A 24,209-nucleotide genomic window follows, 5' to 3' on the forward strand; every position below is an offset into this window, starting at 1 on the left:
ACTCTTTACTTCGCTTTTTAAATGTTGAAAAAATACAATTGAAAACTAAAAAATCTTCCCCAAAATGAGAAATCATCTTCATGACAAAACAGGAAGAAATAAAAACCATTTTATTAGTAAATAAGCCTTAGACCAGAATGTGTTGGGAAATACAGGCAAAGAGCTGAGAGGTTGAAAAGAGAGAAACTTCACTGCTCTATACAACCCATTAAGTACATGTTTTCAAGATAAACACTAATCAGTCCTCAGGGAAGAGGACTTGACAAGTCTTTGGTCGCACATAGTTCATCCTGGCTCTACTTGGTAATGGAGGTGACCATCTGTGTCAGCTAACTAGCTTCATGCAGAAGGAGGGGAAATACATTAACCCACGTCTTTTTGACAAGTGTGAGTTTTACGACATGGCGACAGGTGCCCTCTCTAGTGAGGCTCCTACAATCTGACGGAAACTGACGTCAGCAGTAAATAATAAAATTCAGAATACACGATTAATTATAGAGTTTATTGGAACACAAAGTTTGAGGATAGCCATCTGGAAACATCAACTCCAAATGAAGGGGGCCCGTGTTCCCATGTAGAGATGTTAAGGTTTCACACACAGGGAAAGACAGAGAAGCTTTAGCAGAATCAACACATTTTCCATTCAAGACCAGTGCATAGGCTGCGGCAGCTTGACTGGTGATGGATTGATACACTTCAAGGAAGGTTACTTTATCACTCCGTAAGAAGGGACAATGATGCCAAAAGGTCTTATCTCTGGGGCTGGGTAGTCTTCCTACTTACAGGTAAACTGTTTTTTTTTAAATTGATATTAGGAAACTAAATTTTATTGCACTACACGCTACCAGTTACAAAGTAGGGTGTCCTCATAAACAAAGGAAATGCCTCCTCTTTAAGTTTTTCTTTCTTTTTTTTTTTTTTTTGAGACGGTGTATCGCTCTGTCACCCAGGCTGGAATGCAGTGGCGCAATATCCGCTCACTGCAAGCTCCGCCTCCCGGGTTCACGCCATTCTCCTGCCTCAGCCTCCAGAGTAGCTGGGACTACAGGCGCCCGCCACCACGCCCGGCTAATTTTTGGAATTTTTAGTAGAGACGGGGTTTCACCGTGTTAGCCAGGATGGTCTCGATCTCCTGACCTTGTGATGCTCCCGCCTCGGCCTCCCAAAGTGCTGGGATTACAGGCGTGAGCCACTGCACCTGGCCTGTTTTTCTTACATAGGCGCCTAGGTAAAAACTAAGATATGTCTACCTGCCGGTCTGCTGACAGTCTAACAAAACTTATTATTTTGTTGATTTAAAGCTATCCTTAGGCGGTCCCGGTGGCTCACTCCTGCAATACTAGCAATTTGAAAGGCTGTACCAGGGGGATCACCTGAGGTAAGGAGTTCCAGACCAGTCTGGACAACATGGTGAAAGCCAGTCTTTACTGAAAATGCAACAATTAGCCAGGCCTGGGGGCACATGTCTGTAATCCTAGCTCCTCAGGATGCTGAGGAAGTAGAATCGCTTGAACTTGGGAGGCGGGGGTTGCAGTGAGCCAAGATTGTGCCATTGCACTCCAGCCTGGATGACAAGAGTGAAACGGCATCAAAAAAAAAAAAAGAAAAAGAAAAAAAAGCTATTCTTGGTATTTTAGTGTGCAAGTACTTGAAAGCATGACTGTAATTATTTTAGAAGCATAGATTGTCATGGGATATTGAGTCATCTGGACATTGTTTTTCTGTAGGAGTTTGTTCTTGCAGGTACTATTAAGCTGCTTTCCTTAACTGTAAACATCTTAAGATCATGACTCATGCGTGAGCAGTAAGGACTACGTCTTGCTAGTTTTAGTAGACTAAAACTTTGTCATTCTAGCTCTCCTAGGATCCTGTTTAACAGTTTTTCCACTCATGCACCACAGCGTTCTAAGCACAATTATGGAGACACCACTCTTTTGTAATGCACTGACACCATGTCACTGCACTTTAGTCTGGGCGACAGAGTGAGATTCCGTCAAAAACAAACAAACAAACAAACAAACAAAACAAAAACGAAAACTCATCCAAATCAGAAAGAAAGAAATAAAATTGTATTTGTTTGTAGATGACATGATCTTCTGTGGAAAAAATCCAAAGAGTCAACCAAAATACTACTGGAACTAATAAACACATTCAGTGGATTTGCAGAATACAATATCAGCAGCAAAAATTAGTTGAATTTCCATACATTAACAATAAACAATTTTAAAAGAAAATTAAGAAAACCGTTCCATTTGCTAGAGAAATTTAAGTAAGAAATACTAAGGAATAAATGTAAAGAGGTGAGACGTTTGTACCTTGAAATCCACAAACACTGATCAAAATGATTAAAAACATATATAAATAGAGATAGAACCCATATTGATGGATTGGAAAAATTAATATTGCTAAATGATTATATAACCTAATGTGATTTAGATTCAACACGGTACCCATAAAAATCCCTATCAGATTGTGTTAAAGAAACAAAAAACTGGCTGGGAAAAGTGGCACACGTCTGTTGGCCAGGCTGATCTCAAACTCCTGACCTCAAGGGATCTAACTGCCTTGGCCTCCCAAAGTGCTGGGATTACAGGCATGAGCCACCGTGCCTGGCCCAATCCTCTTAACATAAACACTTTAACATCAATTAATGCTTGAACTCAATGTTAAATCAACTCAAACTCAAGTCAATGCTGAATTGACTCTAATGACAATTAATGCTTGATGGTTTGCTATACTCATTGCCTGTGCATCAATTATCTCAAAAATGAATTTTCTGATGTTCTGCAAGGAGTGACCTCAGACTGAAACCTTGTCACACTTATGACATTTGTAAGATTTCTGTCCAGTAGGGATTCTCTGATGCCTAATGACTTGTGAACGTGAAGTAAAGACTTTGCCATAATTATCACACCTGTGAGGTTTCTCTCCTGTATGAATTCTCCTATGTTTTGCCTAGGATGAAGCTTGACTGAAGACCTTGCCTCAATCATGACATTTGTAAGGTTTCTCTCCAGTATGAGTTCGCTGATGAACTGCAAGTTATGAACGATGTCTGAAAACTTTGCCACATTTATTAACACTTGTAAGATCTCTCTTCATTACGGATTCTCCAATGATTTGCAACAGTTCTAGCATTACCAAAGGCATTGTGACAATCATTGCATTAGTAAACTTTCCCTACACCATGGATTGCCTGATGGATGGTGAGTAAGTGGTGATTGCCCACTAAAGGCTTTGCCACACTCATTACACTTGTAAGGTTTCTCTCCAGGGTGAATTCTAGTATGTCCTGCAAGGTGTGAATCACACCCAAAATCCTTATCACAAACCTTACATTTGTATGGTTTCTCTCCAGTATGAATTCACCTATGTCTTTCAAGCTGTGATTTACGACTGAAAACTTTGTCACAGGTTTTTCTCCAGTATGAGTTCACTGATGAACTGCAAGGTATGAATGATGACTGTAAAATTGGCCACATTTATCACACTTGTAAGATCTCTCTTCATTATAGGTTCTCCAATGATTTGCAAGTGTTGTAGTTTTACTGGAGACTTTGTGGCAGTCATTACATCTGTGAGCTTTCACTATACCATGGATTGCTTGATGGTGAATAGGCGATGCCCTCACCCTAAAGGCTTTGCCACACTCATTACACTTGTAAGGTTTCTCTCCAGTGTGAATTTCAGTATGTTCTGCAAGGAGTGAATTGAGCCCAAAAACCTTTTCACAAACCTTACATTTGTATGGCTTCTCCAGTGTGAATTCTCCTATGCATTGCAAGGTGTGATCTGCAACTGAAAACGTTGTCACATTCTTTACATTTGTAAGGTTTCTCTCCAGTATGAATTGCCTTGTGAACAAAATTACAACAAATTAGCTGGGTATGGTGGATTCCGCCTGTAGTCTCAGCTGTTCTGGACCCTGAGGCAGGGGAATTGCTTGAACCCAAGGCAGAGATTGCAGTGAGCTGAGATCGCACTGCTGAAAAGACACAAACAAGTTGAAAGCCACTGTGACTCGGCTCATTGCAAACTGCCTCCTGGGCTCAAGCGATTCTCCTGCCTCAACCTTTCGAGTAGCTGGGACTGCAGGTGCACACCACCATGCCTGGCTAAGTTTTGTATTTTTAGTAGAGACAGGGTTTTGTGATGCTGGCCAGACTGGTCTCGAACTCCTTACTGCAAAAAAATGAATATATAATACATAGAAGTATATGTATTTCTATGAAATATATAACACATAGAAATGAATAAGTTGAAAGCCTCTGTGTCTTAAACAAATGACAGTAGAACTAAAATATGGGAAGGTCGGGCATGGTGGTTCACACCTGTAATCCCAGCACTTTGGAAGTCCAAGGCAGGTGGATCACGAGGTCAGGAGTTCAAGACCATTGTGGCCAACATGGTGAAAACCTGTCTCTACTAAAAATACAAAAATTAGCTGGGCATGGTGGCATGTGCCTGCAATCCCAGCTACTCAGGAGACTGAGGCAGGAGAATTGCTTGAACTGGGACCTGGGAGGCAGAGGTTGCAGTGAGCCGAGATGGTGCCACTGCACTCCAGCCTGGGCTACAGAGCAAGACTCCATCTCAAAAAAGGAAAAAAAAAAAAAAAGAACTAAAATATGGGAATCTCATTCAACCTCACAAGCTCCCTCAATAAGAATGATGAAAAGTGTAACTGTTACAGGGTTGATCCCACAACAAACTGAACAAAGCTTTTCTTGTTAAAAATGAACAATGCCAGGTGCGGTGGCTCAAGCCTGTAATCCCAGCACTTTAGAGGCCGAGGCGGGTGGGTATGGAGGTCAGGAGTTCGAGACGAGCCTGGCCAACATGGCAAAACCCTATCTCCACTAAAGATACAAAATAACATGCTGGGCATGGTGGCACGTGCCTGGAATCCCAGCTGTGTACATCAAAAGCACGTATGGGGCAAAATCACAAAAGAGAATACAAAACCAGGAAAAGCCAAGATACACAAGGACAGATTCTTCATGTCTGGAGGAACATTTTCCTCACCCACAGACTCCAGGTTCCTGTAGTTCTCCCACATCACAGCCCTGTATAAAGCGTTCTGTGCAGGGTCCAGGCGTTTCCACTCCAGCAAAGAGAACTCTATAGCCACATCTCTGAAAGTCAAGTATCCCTAAAATGAGAAACACGTTTAAATAAAACATTATGGAGGCGTTATCACCTTCACACGAAATGAGAAATGGGAAATTAAGTATCGATTGGGCCAAAGAATATGTTCTGACAAACCCGTATTAAGGTATTTTTGAACATCTTTTCTCTATCGTTGCATTTTATTGTACTTTTCCATGAGAGATTTCAAGATCCCCTAAGTAAAAAATTTACAAATAAAAACTAAATATAGTGTTTTCTCTATAAATACGTTAGATATTATGTTCAGCCTAACACTTGATATTCATTATCTGGATGAGCTAAAATACAAGTGCAGTCTCAGAGATGACAAAGTCCAGTGGCCTAAAGAAAAGAAAGTCAGGGCCAGCCATAGTGGCTCAAGCGTGTAATCCCAGCACGTTGAGAAGTGGAGGGAGGCAGATCACAAGGTCAAGAGTTTGAGATCAGCCTGAACAACATGGTGAAAACTCCTCTTCTCCCAGGAGGCAGAGGATGCAGTGAGCCAAGATAACATCAGTGCACTATAGCTGGAGCAACAGAGAGACACTCCATCTCAATAAAATAAAAATAAAAATTGGCCAGGTGCGGTGGCTCACGCTTTCAATCTCAGCACTTTGGGAGGCCGAGGCAGGCAGATCATGATGTCAGGAGATCGAGACCATCCTGGCTAACACAGTGAAATCCCGTCTCTACTAAAAGTACAAAAAATTAGCCAGGCGTGGTGGCAGGCACCTGTAGTCCCAGCTACTCAGGAGGCTGAGGCAGAAGAATGGTGTGAACCTGGGAGGTAGAGCTTGCAGTGAGCCGAGATCGGGCCACTACACGCCAGCCTGGGTGATAGAGCGAGACTCCTTCTCAAAAATAAAAAATAAAATTTTTAAAAAGGTGGGGCACAGTGGCTCATGCCTGCAATCCTGGCACTTTGGGAGGCAGAGGTGGGCAGATCACCTGAGGTCAGGAGTTGGAGACCAGCCTGGTCAAAGTGATGAAACAACGTCGCTACTAAAAATACAAAAATGAGCTGGGTGTGGTCGTGGGCACCTGTAATCCCAGCTACTGGGGAGCCTGAGGCAGAAGAATCGCTTGAACCCAGAAGGCAGAGGTTGCAGCAAGCTGAGATCGTGCTACTGGACTCCAGACTGGGTGAGAAGAACGGTACCCCATTTCAAATATATATATATGGTCTGGAGGGACATTTTCCTCACCCACAGACTCCAGGTTCCTGTAGTTCTCCCAAATCACGGCCCTGTATAAAGCGTTCTGTGCAGGGTCCAGGCTTTATATATATATATATATGTAATACATATATATATATTACATATATATATAATACATATATATTATACATATATATTTATATATTATACATATATATTTATATATGATTATACATATATATTTATATGATCATACATATATATTTATATGATTATACATATATTTATATATGAGATTATACATATATATTTATATATGATTATACATATATATTTATATATGATTATACATATATATTATATGATTATACATATATATTATACATATATTTATATATGATTATACACATATTTATATATATGATTATACACATATATTTATATATATGATTATACACATATATTTATATATATGATTATACACATATATTTATATATATGATTATACACATATATTTATATATGATTATACACATATATTTATATATTATACATATATATTTATATATTATACATATATTTATATATATGATTATACACATATATTTATATATGATTATACACATATATTTATATATTATACATATATATTTATATATTATACATATATTTATATATATGATTATACATATATATTTATATATTATACATATTTATATATATGATTATACATATATATGATTATACATATATTTATATATATGATTATACATATATTTATATATGTATGATTATACATATATTTATATATGTATGATTATACATATATTTATATATGTATGATTATACATATATTTATATATATGATTATACATATATTTATATATATGATTATACATATATTTATATATATGATTATACATATATATATATATAAAATCATAAGGCTGGATGCAGTTACTCATGCGCTGGGTGCAGTGACTCATGCCTGTAATCCCAGCAATCTGGGAGGCCGAGGTGGGCAGATCACCTGAGGTCAGAACTGTGAAACCCCTCCTGCAGGAACCCTCCACATACATGTAGTGAAGTCAACACACTCAGAGGCAGCCAGGGTGGCATTCTTGGTAACGGTGAAAAACTGGGAAGGACTCACACGTCTTCATTCAGAAAATGCTCCAAGGAGGATGAAAAACAGCAAACTATCTTGTTTCCTACCTTGAAAATGTGGAACATTTTAACACTTGCAGGATAAAATACCAGAACAAAACATTTATCATGTCGAGCTCTTTGGCTCACGCATGTAATCCCAGTACTTTGGGAGGCCAAGGAGGGAGGATCACTTGAGGCCAGGAGTTTGAGACCAGCCTGGCCAATATGGAGAAACGCCATCTCTACTAAAAATATAACCATTAGCCAAGCATGATGGCACATACCTGTAATGCAGCTACTCAGTTGGCCGAGGCTAGAAAATCATTTGAACCCATGAAGCAGAGGTTGCAATGTGCTAGTAAGTTCCAGCCTGTTGACAGGGTGAGACACCTGTCTCACAAAACATACAAAAAAAAAAAAAAAAAAAAAGAAAAGAAATGACTAACAGTGTCAGACGGCTGAATTATGATGTCACGACTACAGTTAAATAACAGTCAGGCAATACGGCAATTCTATATACACATATTGCCCTTAGTTATCTAGTTCACTATGCGTAAGATATAAAACATAGAATGTGTACTGGGAAAATTGATAAACTGGGATCAGAGAAAACATAGTATAAAACAAATCGTATAATAAAAACATAAAAAAAGATGCAGGCTCCCTGGTCTGGATGTTCATATTGGCCAAAAGCCATGTTTGGATTTAATTAATTAATTAATTAATTAATTTATTTATTTATGTATTTATTTTTTGAGATGGAGTCTCACTCTGTTGCCAGGCTGGAGTGCAGTGGCATGGTCTCGGCTCACTGCCACCTCTGCCTCCTGGGTTCAAGTGATTCTCCTGCCTCAGCCTCCCAAGTAGCTGGGATTACCGGTACGTGCCACCACCCCCAGCTAATATTTGTATTTTTAGTATAGACGGGGTTTCACCATGTTGGCCAGGCTGGTCTTGAACTCCTGACCTCATGATCCACTTGCCTTGGCCTCCCAAAGTGCTGGGATTACAGGCATGAGCCACCGTGCCCAGCCCATATTTGGATTTCTTATTCTCCAACAGGATGTTCCTGCAGATGTGGCATTTGAGATAATTTGGTCATGGGTGTTGACTACTCATGAATAGGACCAGTGCTTTTATTTTTATTTTTTTTCTTTCTTTATTTTTGAGAAAGAGTTTCACTCTTGTTGCCCCTGCTAGAGTGCAGTGGCCTGATCTTGGCTCACAGAAACATCCGCCTCCTGGGTTCAAGTGATTCTCCTGTATCAGCCTCCCGTGTAGCTGGGATTTCAGGCATGTGCCACCACACCCAGCTAATTTTTGTATTTGTAGTTGAGATGAGGTTTTACCATGTTGGCCAGGCTGGTCTCGAAGTCCTGACCTCAGGTGATCTGCCCGTCTCGGCCGCCCAAAGTACTGGGATTACAGGCTTGAGCCACCGCACCCGGCCATTTTTTTTGTTCAGTAGATTCAAGGATTCAGCATGTTGGACTGACTGGTCTCAAACTCCTCACCTCAAGCAATCTACCCCCATCAGCCTCCCAAAGTGCTGGGATTAGAGGTGTGAGCCACCATGGCCAGCCAGTCTACGCCGTTTCTGACAGGACAGTGAAATGACGGAGACAGGAAAAGGAGCATGTCATCATCAACATTGCTGAAGGCTGACAACTCTTATTACACAAAGGCAGTTTACAGCCTGTCATATAAAAGCTGCAATGTGTGAAGCCATCTAATAGCACTAACTTGTTTAAAAACCTGGAGGCATCCAGGCGCAGTGGCTCACGCTTGTAATCCCAACACTTTGGAAGACCGCGGTGGGTGGATCACCTGAGGTCGGGAGTTCGAGAGCAGTCTGACTGACATGGAAAAACCCTGTCTCTACTTCAAATACAAAATTAGCTGGGTGTGGTGGTACATGCCTGTAATCCCAGCTACTTGGGAGCCTCAGGCAGGAGAATCGCTCGAACCCCCGGGGCGGAGGTTGTGGTGAGCTCGGATTGCGCCACTGTAGTCCAGCCTGGGCAAGAAGAGCGAAACTCTGTCAAAAAAAAAAAAAAATCTGGAGGCAAATTAACATTATTTCTCAAATAAGTTCTCAAATAAGTACAGCAGGCCCACAGTGTTCATGTACATGACCCCAATTTGCACATACAGTAAGTGAGGGACAAACTTGATTCTTGGCCTGAAGGATCCCACGACATGTTTCTAAGCAAAATAGTCCACCAAGAAAGTACAGAAAACAACCAGTCACAAAAAATGCTGCAAGGAGAACAGAATGAAATACTACAAGGGGGATACAAGCAAGGGCTGAGCTGGGACACAAGCGCTGAGCTGCGCTGCTGACAGTGGTTCTGAAGCCATCCCTCATGGATCATGTGCTGAGTCATGATGCCCTGCACACACTGATTTAGGCAGCCTCCAATAATTTTGTCCAGTGGATGAATAAGGTCTTGACTTACTCAGTGAGAGTAGTGTTGGAGGGGAGGGGCTCACGGGGAAATTGGGGTGTTCACTTTTACAAAGTCAATAGGCTGGTATTTGCATCCAGATCAATGTATCATGTGAGGCAAGGCCAGGAAAGGAAGGGCAAGGGTGGAGAGCAGGAAGTAATGGGCATGTAGGAGTGAACTTTGTGCATGCACCTCTGTGGGAATATAATTCCACTAGGATAGACCAAATCTTGAGCTTGGAAGAAAGTGGAACTAATTTAGCAAATGGTAAAATATTGACCCAAGGTTAAATATGCAAATTACAATATGGGCAAGGGACAAGAATGAAAGAGATCCAAAAAAGCAGCAGTATGGTGGCCTAAGGTGAAAGCAGTTTTACATCTCTTAAATTAAATGGCCTCTGATACCTAGTTTCAAGAGTATACACAACAATATACCAAGTATAGATTCCAGAATTTCATACACACAGAAAAAAATGAGTAAAGTCTATGAGGAGTGCAGCAGCGAAGGAGACCATGGATGTGAAGAATTCCCTGGCTGAGTAGGTAGAGCTGTGTTTGTGAAAACAGAGACAGACTGAGCGCAGTGGCTCATGCCTGTAATAACAATAATAATAATAATGACAGGTTTTTTTTCTTTTTTTGAGATGGAGTGTCACTCTTTTGCCCAGGCTGGAGTGTAGTGGTGTGATCTCGGCTCACTGCAACCCCTGCCACCCAGGTTCAAGCAATTCTCTTGCCTCAGCCTCCTGAGTAGCTGGGATAACAGGTGCCTGCCACCGGGCCTGGCTAAATTTTCTATTTATTTATTTATGTATTTATAGAGACAGAGTCTTCCTCTCTCACCCAGGCTGGAATGCAATGGTGCGATCTCGGCACACTGCAACTTCCGTCTAATGGTTTCACGCCATTCTCCTGCCTCAGCCTCCTGAGTAGCTGGGACTACAGGCACCCGCCACCACATCTGGCTAATGTTTTTTGTATTTCATTAGAGATGGGGTTTCACCGTGTTAGCCAGGATGGTCTCGATCTCCTGACCTCGTGATCCACCCGCCTCAGCCTCCCAAAGTGCTGGGATTACAGGTGTCAGCCACAGCGCCCATCCTAAATTTTGTATTTTTAGTAGAGACAGGGTTTCACCATTTTGATCAGGCTGGTCTTGAACTCCTGAGAACCTGCCTCAGCCTCCCAAAGTGCTGGGATTACAGGCATCAGCCACCATGCCCAGGCCCTTCTTACTATTAACTCATTATTGTGATAGTTGATGACAATGAAAAATACTTAAAATAGCCAGGTGCGGTGGCTCACACCTGTAAACCCAGCACTTTGTGAGGCCGAGGTGGATGGATCACGAGGTCAGGAGATCAAGACCATCCTGGCTAACACGGTGAAACCTCGTCTCTACTAAAAATACAAAAATTAGCTGGGCATGGTGGCAGGCACCTGTAGTCACAGCTACTCAGGAGGCTGAGGCAGGAGAATGGTGTGAACCTGGAGGCGGAGCTTGCAGTGAGCCAAGATCGGGCCACTACACTCCAGCCTGGGCAACAGAGCCAGACTCCGTCTCAAAAAAAAAAAAAAAAAAGAAAAATACTTAAGATCATTACAATTATTATAAAAAATAAAACTTATGGCAAATGTTGTGTTTTCTACATAAACCATAGGTTTATCCATCCATGTATTTATGCACACACATCACATCATGCCATTACACGTGTGGTGGTGCACACCTCTAGTCCCAGCTACTCGAGGTGCTCAGGCAAAAGAATCACTGTAATCCAGGAGGCAGAGGCTACAGTGAGCCTAAATCTCACTACTGTACTCCAGCCTGGGCAACAGAGGGAGACTCAACTAAAAAAAATAAAATACAATCAATGATGTGATAAAGCATTCTACACCACTGATGTGTATCTTCACTTTCCATTCCATTCCAAGTCATTAAAAATGCAGAGTCTAGCCTGGCATGGTGGCTCAGGCCTGTAATCCCAGCACTTTGGGAGGCTGAGGTGAAAAAACACAAGGTCAGGATTTCCCGACCAGCCTGACCAATATGGTGAAATCCCATCTCTACTAAGAATACAAAAAAATTAGCCAGGCATGGTGGCACATGCCTGTAATCCCAGCTACTCGGGAGGCTGAGGCAGGAGAATTGCTTGAACCCAGGAAGCAGATGTTGCAGTCAGCTGACAGCCTGTCACTGCACTCCAGTTTGGGCAATAGAGCGAGACTCCATCTCAAAATAAATAAATAAATAAAACAATTAGCCGCTTGTGGTGACACATGCCTATCATTCAAGCTCTTTGGGAGGCTAAAGTGGGGATTGATTGAGCCCAGGAGTTTCAGGCTGCTGTAAACTCTAAATTGTGCCATTGTACTCCAAAACTAAGCCACAGAGCGATATTTTCTCCCACTCTCTCTCCAACATGGTGAAACCCCATCTCTACCAAAAATACAAAAAATTAGCCAGGCATCCTGGCACACATCTATGGTCCTAGCTACTTGGGAGGCTGATGCAATAAGATCACTTGAGCCTGGGACACAGAGGTTACAGTGATCCAAGACTTTACCACTGCATTCCACCCTAAGTGACAGAGTGACACTCCACTTCGGAAAAAAAAAATTCCAAAACCATCTTGTATATTCCTGAGCAAAAGAAACTTCTTTCGAGGTCTACGGTTCTGATGGCATCAATCCCAAACATGTAATTACTCACTCCCAGAAAATCACAGAAATATGTTCAAAATGTACACATTGTGAACACATAGCTGCAGGTGTTTAAAACACTGAAAAATTGTGCACACATAGCTCTAGGTGCTTAAAACACTGAAAAAGAGGCAGCTGTAGCAATGAGATCTGAGCAAATGCTTTTCTCATGAACACATGGGCTCTGCTAAACCAAGGTTCCAAGTCAATCCAGCCCATCCTTCAACATCTGCAGAGAATATTATGGACCAGAGGGATTTAAATTAATTATGTTACAAAGAGAGGAAGCAACACGTCATCACTTCATCATCACATCCAATCAACTCACCGCTCATCTGCACCCAGGGTCCCCCTTCGTCTTCATTACTGTTTCCCTCCATCATTCTGTACATAGCTCTCATTCTCACCTTCTCTGAAATTGGGATTAGCCAGGTGTGGTAGCACCTGCCTGTCATCCTGGCTCCTTGAGAGGCTAATGTGGGTATCACTTGAGCCCACGAATTTGAGGCTGCTGTAAACTAGAATTGTTCCATTGCACTCCAGAAAGGGCCCCAAAGTGACACCCTCTTTCTTAAAAAAGAAAGTTTGGAGTCAGAGACATATTGACTCACTGGTGTAGCTTCAAATCCATTACAAAAGCAGACACAAAATATCTCCCATAGTTTGTTTCCTTTTCCAGAATTTACCAGATACCAGTGTATATTAATGTACTGAAGGGGGCCTGCCCCTCCACACCTGTGGGTATTCCTCAGAAGGTGGAGATAAGAGACTGAGAAAAGAAATAAGACACAGGGACAAAGTATAGAGGGAGAAAAGTGGGTCCGGGGGAGCAGCGCTCAGCAAGTGAGGACCTGCACCGGCATCGACCTCTGAGTTCCCTCAGTATTTATTATTTATTTATTTATTTGAGACAGAGTTTTGCTCTGTCACGCAGGTGGAGTGCAGTGGCATGGTTTCGGCTCACTGAAACCTCCGCCTCCCGGGTTCATGCCATTCTCCTGCCTCAGCCTCCCAAGTAGCTGGAACTACAGGTGCCCACCACCGGGCCCGGCTAATTTTTTCTATTTTTAGTAGAGACGGGGTTTCACCGTGTTAACCAGGATGGTCTCAATCTCCTGACCTCGTGATCTGCCTGCCTCGGCCTCCCAAATTGCTGGGATTACAGGCGTGAGCCACCGCGCCCAGCCTCTCTCAGTATTTATTGATCACTATCTCTACTATCTTGGTGAGGGGAATGTAGCAGGACTATAGGGTGATGGTGAGGAGAGGGTCAGCAGGAAAACACGTGAGCAAAGGACCCTGTGTCATAAATAAGTTTAAGGAAATGTGCTCTGCCTGGATGTGCATGTAGGCCAGGTTTATGTTTGACTTTACACAAACATCTCAGTGCAGTAAAGAGCAGTATTGCTGCCAGCATGTCTCACCTCCAGCCATAGGGCGGTTTTCTCCTATCTCAGTAAATAGAATGTACAATCGGGTTTTACACCGAGACATTCCATTCCCAGGGAGGAGCAGGAGACAGATGCCTTCCTCTTATCTCAACTGCAAAGAGGCCTTTCTCTTTCGCTAATCCTCCTCAGCACAGGCCCTTGTCGGGCTGAGGGACCTGTAAGGTCTTTCCCTTCCCATAAGGCCATATCTCAGGCTGTCTCCATTGGGGGAAACCTGGACAATACCCAGGCTTTCTTGGGCAGAGGTCCCTGCAGCTTTCTGCAGTGCATTTGTGTCCCTGGTTAATCAAGAATGGAGAATGGCGATGCCTTTCACAAAGCATATTGCCTGCAAGAACTTTTTAAACAAAGCACATCCTGCACAGCCCGAGATCCATTAAATCTTGATTCAACACAGCACATGTTTCTGTGAGCACAGGGTTGGGGCTAAGGTTACAGATTAACAGCATCTCAAAGCAGAACAATTTTTCTTAGTACAGATCAAAATGGGGTTTCTTATATCTTCCTTTTCTACATAGACACAGTAACAATCTGATCTCTCTTTTATTCCCCCACAACGTATGACTTTCATACACAGTTTCTCTGATCTGGTCCACAAAGAGCTAAACGTCCATCCAGATGTGGCCCTTGAACAAACCCTGCTGCCCAACATCACTGACACCATGGGGCCCACACCCCATTTCCATCCATGCCTGGTGTGAGCCCTTCCCAGGACCATGCCCAGTGGAGCCTCTTCCCAAGCTCACATCACTAGGTTATAGGAGATGGAATTTAAGTGAAGATGACAAGGACTGAGAAAAGGCATGGGTGAGTGTGAGCAAACGTGTGAGGCAGGACGCTTCAGACTCACAGGAGACTGACTACTACAATACCTGGCATTTCAGAAAGGAAAGAGACAGAAGAATCCAATGAGAAATATCACTTCACCTGAGGAAGAGCCATCCCTGGCTCCTTTTCTTTGCCTTCTTGGTGTCTTCCTCAAGTAACATAAGTCTCTGGAAATCAATCCTGTATGTGAAAAAAATCAGAGATTTAATGTTTAGAAATCACTCCCTCCTTTTCTGTGGCAAAACACACACACGGGAGATCTCACCTGGGAGAAAGACAGCCCTCTGCTGCCCACTACACCAGAGATTATGCGGAGATAAGAAGGTGCCACAGGAAGACCTACAAGGGTAATTTTGACCCATTTTCAGATCTTTCTCCCCTCCTGGAAAAGTCCACACACACGCTGCAGCAGGACACAGACCTTCAGGACACAGATCTGGCCCTAACCAAACCCCATGCAGAGCACAGCCCCCTCAGCTCCCTGTGGATCACAGGCTGATCTCAGCTCTCAACATGGAGGAAACTGCCTTGATTTTCAATGCTGGAGACAGATAAGGATCACCAGTGCCATAGTAAATATTACTGAGGGTGGGTTTAAATCTATGATAATAGCAATCTCTGATAAAACAGCATAAAAGATGTATTTGCAAAATGCCTGAGAACCCTAATGTGAAGTCAGGGTTGAGCTCCACTCAGTGGGTGCCAGCCTAGCACAGCCCCACCTTCTGGCTCTGCTCTCCACTTGGGGACTTTTTCCCACCAGGATCCAGTGAACAGCGAAGGAGCAAAAAGAATCACACAGAACAGGCAACATGGATCAGAGGTGGGGGTGAAGGTGGGGCTGTCATGTCATATGGGGGCTGTGGGTGATCACAAAAGTTTCCATAGAAAAAAGTGATGTCAGAACAAAGACTTAGGGAAGAAACGCTGCTTGTCACTTGCAGCTGAGGGGCCAGAGAGTCCTAGGTAGGGGGACAGCCCAGGTGAAGGCCCTGAGATAGGAGCAACCTCAGTCCCAGAAAAAGGAAAGAAGCCTGCGTGGCTGGAGCAGAGGGAGCGAGGAGGACACAGGCAGGAGATGAAGTCAGAGGGGTCCTGGGAGCCCAGATCTGCAGGGATGAGGCCTTGAAACATTTTTCTCCCACACCTCAAAGGAATTTTGGAAACGATGTATTTTCTCACTCCTTTCATGTATACATGCAAATGTCTCTTTACATTATAAATGACAACACTTACAAATAATGTAATTTATCTCCCATACTTAAAATACATGCTGTCAAGTTTGGCTAAGCTTCCAGAAATACACTGTCACCCTCATCTGAGACATGTAGGACTGTAAGGGAATGTGTTTGGGGGTTTAGGAAGTCACTTATGGACACGTGAAGGTGGAGATGCCTGTTTGATGTCCCAGCAGAGAGCTGAGGAGACAACTGCACACAGGATTGTAGAGCTCAGTGGAGAGGCCTGCAGGGGACATGGGTAGGTGGGTTAAAGCTGTGAGATGAGATAAGGAAAAGCAGTGGGTGTGGACAGAGACAAGAATAGGTTCAAGATGATTTGAGTCTAATCCCGTTTTTCCATTCTGGTATTTGTGATTTTTACATTTTTGGAGGACTGGAATCCATTTAACATTCAAATTACATCTGAGCAGTACCCTCTCCTAAAGGAAAAGCCACACACTATTTGGCAAAGTATTTCAGGGCTCAGTGAAATTCCATCTCTACCAAAAGTACAAAAAATTAGCCAGGCGTGGTGGTGTGCATCTGTGGTCTCAGCCATTTGAGGGGCTGACTGTGGTGGATCTTTGGGCCTGGGAGGCAGAGGTTGCAGTGAGTCAAGATGGTGCCACTGCACTCAAGCATGGGTGACCGAGTGACACTCCATCTCAAAAAAAGAAAAAAAAAAAATTCCAGGACAATTTTATACACCTGAGCAAATGAAATGTCTCTTTCAATGTCTAAGGTCCTGATGGCATGAATCCTAAACATGTAATTATTTTCCCAGAAAAATCATAGTAATATCTTCAAAATAAACACAATTATGAATCCCTAGCTATAGGTGTTTAAAACACTGAAAGAGAGGCAGTGGTACAAATGAGATCTGAGCAAATGTTTTCTTCATGAACACATGGGCTCTGCTGGAACAAGGTTCCAGGCCAATCCTGTCCATCCTTGAACATCTGCAAAGAATATTATGGACCAGAGGAACTTGAGGGGAAAGCTTATTTAGCAGCTCACAGCTCACCATTTAATTAGATGACATAAAGAAAGAAGATGGAATAATAGGCTACTTCAACTAAATTTTAATGTTAGCATAAAGAAAAAGTTCCTTGATATCTTTATCAAGTACACATCGAAACAACCTAAAATCATTTATCAGGTACTAGAAAATGTTTCCAATGTATGATACAGACTAGAAAGCATGCAGTCCTCAATGTAAACTAAACACAATAAATTTCAGAGAAAAACAATTTTAAAATGGCTTAAAAATATATCTAATGAAATGTGGGGTCAAAGAAGAACATTTTGAACACATACCGTAGTTGCAAAACAATGATGTTACCTCGTAAGATTATACCAAAGCTTTCATGAGAAGCAGTTTTTTATATTACTTTAATTTTATTTTAGAGATGGAGTCTCGCTCTTGCCCAGCCAGAGTGCAGTTGCAGGATCTCAGCTCACTGCAACCTCCGCCTCCCGAATTCAAGCCATTCTTCTGCCTCACCCTCCTGAATAGCTGGGATTACAGGCACTCGCCACCACACCAGGCTAATTTCTATATTTTGGTCAAAACGAGGATTCGCCATGTTAGCCAGGCTGTTCTCAAATACTTGATCTCAGGTGATCTGCCCACCTTGGCCTCCCAAAGTGCTGGGATTACAGGCATGAGCCAGAGCACCTGGTCTATTTTTTTTTTTTTAAATTAAGAAACACGTTGGTCATGGTGGCTCATGGCTGTAATCCCAGCACCTTGGGAGGCCAATACGGCTGGATCGCTTGAGCCCTGGAATTCAAGACCAGCTCGGGCAACATGGTGAAAGCCCATCTCTACTAGGAACACAAAAATTTGCCCGGTGCGGTGGCACCTGGCTATGGTCCTAGCAACTTTGGAGGCTGAGGTGGGAGGATCCCTTGAACCCAGGAGATTGAAGCTTCAGTGAGGGCTGATCCTGTCACCGCTCTCATGCCTGGCCAACAGAATGAGACCCATCTTTAATAGAAATGAAGAAAAAGGAAACACATGCGTCCTGGGTCTGGGGACAGGGAGAGTCTAAGGCCAATTAACACGAACCTCAGGAGGTCCTGATGACGTGTGTCCATGGTGTTGAGGCTGCAGTTTGGTTTCACACATTTTACAGACACACGAGACAGCAATCAGTACATATATACATTGGTCCGGTCTGGAAAGGTGGAATAACTGGAATTGGGGACCTTCTGGGTCACAGGTAGATAACAAATAACATTCTTTGAATCTTTGATCAGCCTTTCACTAAATACACAATTTATATGTGAGCAGGGAGGAGGGATAAGTCACTTATGCCTTAGGCTGGCTCAGGGACCCTGTATTTTTACATAAATAGGGCAAGGGAAGCAATCAGATAGACATTTGACTCAGGTGTGCAGAGGGATGGGCTCTTTCCCACATCTGTGAAGATAAGCTCTCAGTTTACATCGCCAGGGTGAAATTCAACAGAACTATTTTAGGGTGGAGATCTTGAGGTTCCCGGTTTGGGAGGGGCATATGTAGCTTTTTAAAAAATCTTTGTAACTATCTTGTTTAGGAATAAAATGGAAGGCAGGTTTGTCTGACGCAGTTCCCAGATTGACTTTTCTCTTTGGCTTAGTAATTTTTATTTTCCTTTCACAAGCTTGTGACAGCCATAATGCTTTGACACACTGATACTGTTTTATATAGATTTTTCCACAACAGTAAAGTCCAAGGGTCTGTCATGAACCGGGTTAGAGAAGATGAGAAAATTTTCAGAAGACTCCATCTCAAAAAAACAAAACAAACAAAACAGAATTTAAAATACAGAATTAAGTCATTTGACTTTTTTTAAATGAAAAGTCTCACATATTTATTACTGAACCAAGCCAACAAAGGTGTTCATAACAGATCCAGAGAAAAAAAATACATTCTCAATAAAACATGTCCAACTCTCCAGATAGTGGTGACATTTTCAGCTTGATATGGTAACGTGACTGAATCTTCAGACAGCATGAATATGTGTGCCATCTCATATGCAATTCCTTATAGATCCAGCTTGGCTCTTCTCCAGTGTCGTCTTTGACAGTTGTACCTATAAAACTTATGTGGATGGTCTGCCTGCCACTCTGTGCATCACTTTCTTTTTTTTTTTTTTTTTTTTTTTTTTGAGATGGAGTCTCGCTCTGTCACCCAGGCTGGAGTGCAGTAGCATGATCTCTGCTCATGGCAAGCTCCACCTCCTCGGTTCATGCCATTCTCCTGCCTCAGCCTCCTGAGTAGCTGGGACTACAGGCGCCCACAACCACGCCTGGCTAATTTTTTGTATTTTTAGTAGAGATGGGGTTTCACCGTGTTAGCCAGGATTTTCTCGATCTCCTGACCTCGTGATGCTCTTGCCTCGGCCTCCCAAAGTGCTGGGATTACAGGTGTGAGCCACCACACCTGTCCTGTGCATCACTTTCAACATCATCTTGTCCCAACTTAAAATAAGTTTTCCATTTACAAACTGGTGATTTATTTTGGGAATCGTCCCCATAACCTTTTCATAAAGCATCAATGATTTCATTGTCCCTCTACCCAAACTTTACCAGATTCATTTTTCGATACACTATCTGTCTCTGTCACCCATGCTGGAGTACAATGGCATGATCATGGCTCCCTGCAGCCTCGAACTCCTAGGCTCAAGCCATCCTCCCACTGCAGACTCCACAGAAGCTGAACCAGCAGACATGTGCCACAATGCCCAGCTAATTTATGTATTTTTTGTAGAGAAGGTGGTTTCACCATTCTGCCCAGGCTGGTCTTGAGTACCGGGGCCCACGTGACCCAACTGTCTCAGCCTCTGAAAATTATGGGATTACAGGCCTGAGCCACAGCATCTGGTCTCATCGCAAATTTGATGTTTCTTCTTGTTTCAGTTTTAGCAGAATTTACATTGCCTTGATTGAGTCTCTTTTCAAACTCATGTCTTACCCATCTGAGTGCCTCAAACCAAACCCTGTTCAGACATGTTATAACGGATTTGTATCAGTTTATCTTGGTGCAAAAAATGTGATATCATGCACAATTTTCTCATAATATGTATTTTTCCATGAACTTCCTGAAGACCCCTTGTACTAGCGAACTGTATTCAAGAGGTTATAAAAAGGATTGTTGATATGCAAGTGCCACTTATTTCTGGGATGCAAAATGGTTCAACATAGTCAAGCAAATCAATGTGATATACCACTTGAACATAATGAAAGATGAAAACCACATCATCTCAATACATGGAGAAAAAGCATTTCACAAAATTCAACATCCAGTCATCATGGAAATCCTAAACAAAATAGAAAGAGAAGGAAATTTACCTCAACAATACAAAGACCATCCATGAAATGACCACAGCAGAAATAACCAGTCAGGGAAAATGGAATGCTTTTCCTGTAGGATCTCACATGATGCAAGAATGCTCTCACCCCTTCTATTCAATCAATACTGGCTGTCCTAGCTAGAGCAATGAAATAGCAAAAGAAATCAAACTCATCCAAATCAGAAAGAAAGAAGTAAAACTATTTCTTTGTAGATGACATGATCTTCTGTGTAGAAAATCACAAAGAGTCAACCAAAATGCAACTGGAACTAAAAAACATATGCAGTGGATTTGAAGAATAGAATAACAGCACCAAAAATTAGTTGAATTTCCATACATTAACAATAAACAATTTAAAAAGAAAATTAAAAAAACACTTTCATTTGCTAAAGAACTTAAAGTAAGAAATACTTAGGAATAAATGAAAAAAGTTGAGAAGTTTCTACCTTCAAATCTACAAACATTGATCAAAGTGATAAAAACATGTGCAAATAAGAGATACAAGCCATATTGAATGGAATAATATTGCTAAATGATTATAACTGAATGTGATGTAGATTCAACACAATACCCAGAGAAATTTCTATAACTTTTTGTTAAAGAAACAAAAAACAGGCCAGGTGTGGTGGCTCACGCCTGTAATCTCAGCACTTTGGCAGGTGGAGGCAGGTGGATTTTAAGGACAGAAGATCGAGACCATCCTAGCTAACACGGTGAAACCCAGTCTCTACTAAAAATACAAAAAATTACCCGGGCATGGTGGCACGCACCTGTAGTCCCAGCTACTCAGGAGACTGAGGCAGGAGAATTGCATGAACCTGGGAGGTGAATGTTGCAGTGAACCGAGATCACATCACTGCACTCCAACGTGGGCGACAGAGCAAGATTCCATCTTAAAAATAAATAAATAAATAAAAGAACATACAGGCTGGGAAAAGTGGCTCCCGTCTGTTGGCCAGGCTGGTCTCAAATTCATGACCTCAAGTGACCTACCTGTCTTGGCCTCTCAAAGTGCTGGGATTACAGGTGTGAGACACCACGCCTGGCCCAATCCTCTTAACATAAACAGTTTAATGTCGATTAATGCTTGAAATCAATGTTAAGTCAACTCAAACTCAGGTCAATGCTGATTTGACTCTGATGTCAATTAATGCTTGATGGTTTGCTATACTCATTGCACTTGAAACAATTGTCTCCAAAAGGAATTTTCTGATGTTCTGCAAGGAGTGACCTCAGACTAAAGACCTTGCCACACTGATGACATTTGTAAGATTTCTGTCCAGTATGGATTCTCTGATGCCTAATAAGGTGTGAAGGTGAATTAAAGGCTTTACCACAATCACCACACTTGTGAGGTTTCTCTCCTGTATGAATCCTCCTATGTCTTTCAAGGTGTGATTTGCGAATGTAAACTTTGTCACATTCTTCACATTCGTAAAGTTTCTCTCCAGTATGAAGTTTTTGATGACATGCGAGGTACGCTTTTGTACTAAAAACCTTGCCACATTCATTACATGTGTAAGGTCTCTCTCCAGTATGAACTCTCTGATGTTCTGCAAGACGTGAATCACTCCGGAAAGCCTTGTCACAAACCTTACATTTGTATGGTTTCTCTCCAGTATGAATCCTCCTATGTCTTTCAAGATGTGATTTGCGACTGAAAACTTTGTCGCATTCTTCACATCTGTAAGGTTTCTCTCCAGTGTGAACTCTACGATGTCCTGCAAGAGTTGCTCGTTGCTTAAAAACCTTGCCACATTCATTACACTTATAGGGTTTCTCTGCAGTATGAACTGCCTTATGAATTACGAGGACTGAATTTCGAGCGAAGGTCTTGCCACACTCATTACATTTGTAAGGTTTCTCTCCAGTATGCAGTCTATGATGGTACACAAGGTGTGATGTCTGACTAAAGGTCTTGCCACACTCATTACACTTATAAGGTTTCTCTCCAGTATGACTTCTATGATGACATGCAAGGGTTGCTTTTTGATCAAAAACCTTGCCACATTCATTACATGTGTAATGTTTGTCTCCCCTGTGAATTCTAGTATGTTTTGCCAGGTGTGAATCATGCTTAAAAGCCTTGTCGCAAACCTTACATTTGTATGGTTTCTCTCCAGTATGAATTATCCTATGTATTTCAAGATGTGATTTGCAACTGAAAACTTTCTCACATTCTTCACATTTGTAAGGTTTCTCTCCAGTATGAATTCTCCTATGTCTTCGCAAATGCAAATGAAATCTTGATTCAAGCTGACCTTTAATAGGCTTGTTTCCAGCATGCCTTTGATCATATCGGTCTGTACTACTAGTCAACTTTTTTATTTCTGTCATGGGTGCTTCATGGTCATTTGTTTCATCTTCTTGCCACTGAAACACAAAGTCATGAATGTCTTTCTCAATTTCCTGGGAGCAAAATGCTCCAATGTGATAACTTGCTTGTCTCTGCAATGTCCCTGTGTGGATCACTTCTGTATTGCCTTGCCCTGTTGATGACAATGTATTCATCATGCATTTGGAAGAGATATCTACAAAATATAAACACCAATAGGTTTCCAATTAAGTACAGATGGTATAAAACACTGAAATGTATAAATATCACACACACACAAAAATACTTATTTTAAACTTCCCAAACATGAGCTTCAAAGTTTAGGAACACAAAACAAGTAAGATTCTTTAATAAATAAAGGCCAATTACATGTACTTCAAATCATTTTTACAGAAGCCTATTTCCAATATCATGACAAAACACTGACAGGGCACAAACACACATAAGCCTAAAGTAAGGAGTATTTTTCCACTTTAATCCTAAGGGGTATCACACAGTGCAAAAAATATATCACTGTCACATCAAAGAAGAGAAAAATATGTATTCTTCATATATACAGTATATTTAGTATACAGAAATAAATGTTAAAAAACCAGACAATGTACTATATTGGTAAATAATCCACAACAAGCTCTTGTAAGGATAATCAAAATCAATGGAAATTCTGTATTATCAAACAATCATAGCACTGAGAAGATAAGATTACAAAAATTAGCCAGGTGTGGTAGCCCACCCTGTCGTCCCAGCTACTCAGGAGGCTTAGGCACAAGAATTGATTTAAGCCAAGATGCAAAGTTTGCAGTGAGCCCACATCGCACCACTGCACTCCAGCCTGGGTGACAAAGTGAGACTCTGTCTCAGAAAACAAAAAAAGGCAGGGGGTGGTGGCTCGCGCCTGTGATCCCAGTACTTTGGAAGGCGGAGGCAGGCACATCGCCTCAGGTTAGGAGTTTGACCAACCTGGCCAACATGGCGAAGCCCTGTCTCTGCTAAAAATAGAAAATGTAGCCGGGCATGGTCATGGGCAGCTGTAATCCCAGCTAGCTGAAAGGATGAGGCAGGAAAATCACTTGAACTCGGGAGGCAAAGATTGTGGTGAGCTGAGATCACACCATTGCACTCCACCTTGGGTGACAGAGTGAGACTCCGTCTCAAAAAAAAAAGAAAATGTTAATAGCATATTTTTCTGAATAACTGTTACAAAATTACCTATATCCATGTGGAACAGGCATGTTGTAACTTAAAAAAAAAATTTTGTATTTTTATTTTTTTGAGATGGAGTCTCACTCTGTCACCCAGGCTGGAGTGCAATGGCATAATCTTGGTTCACTGCAACCTCCGCCTCCTGGGTTCAAGCGAGTCTCTTGCCTCAGCTTCCCGAGCACCTGGGATTACAGGCGCACACCACTATGCCCAGCTAATTTTTATA

General features: G+C 42.0%; 1 protein-coding gene across 28 annotated transcripts in view, besides 1 other annotated feature; it reads right to left on the reverse strand.

The window, feature by feature from the left end:
- Nucleotides 1-483: 483 nt before the first annotated feature.
- Nucleotides 484-24,209, reverse strand: part of ZNF320 (zinc finger protein 320) — a 44,830-nt gene continuing 21,104 nt past the window's right edge. For 11 of the 28 annotated variants that reach the window (NM_001351773.2, NM_207333.4, NM_001351776.2 and 8 more), the window contains one exon: nt 17,173-22,976. In NM_001351773.2, coding sequence (NP_001338702.1) covers nt 21,589-22,976 — 1,388 coding nt within the window. In that variant the 3' untranslated portion in view covers nt 17,173-21,588. Of the gene's footprint in view, nt 5,153-14,984; nt 15,066-17,172; nt 22,977-24,209 lie in introns of those variants that run through there. The other 17 variants (XM_047438305.1, XM_047438308.1, XM_047438306.1 and 14 more) reach the window with 4 other exon arrangements.
- Nucleotides 17,295-17,796: an enhancer, noted in NCBI's record as "H3K4me1 hESC enhancer chr19:53379555-53380056 (GRCh37/hg19 assembly coordinates)". NCBI's record gives its function as "activates a minimal SCP1, AML or CMV promoter by ChIP-STARR-seq in primed H9 embryonic stem cells {active_cell/tissue: H9 hESC(primed)}" and the evidence as "EXISTENCE:reporter gene assay evidence [ECO:0000049][PMID:30033119]".

The sequence above is a fragment of the Homo sapiens genome, chromosome 19 (genome assembly GCF_000001405.40).
Source record: "Homo sapiens chromosome 19, GRCh38.p14 Primary Assembly".
NCBI lineage: Eukaryota > Metazoa > Chordata > Mammalia > Primates > Hominidae > Homo > Homo sapiens.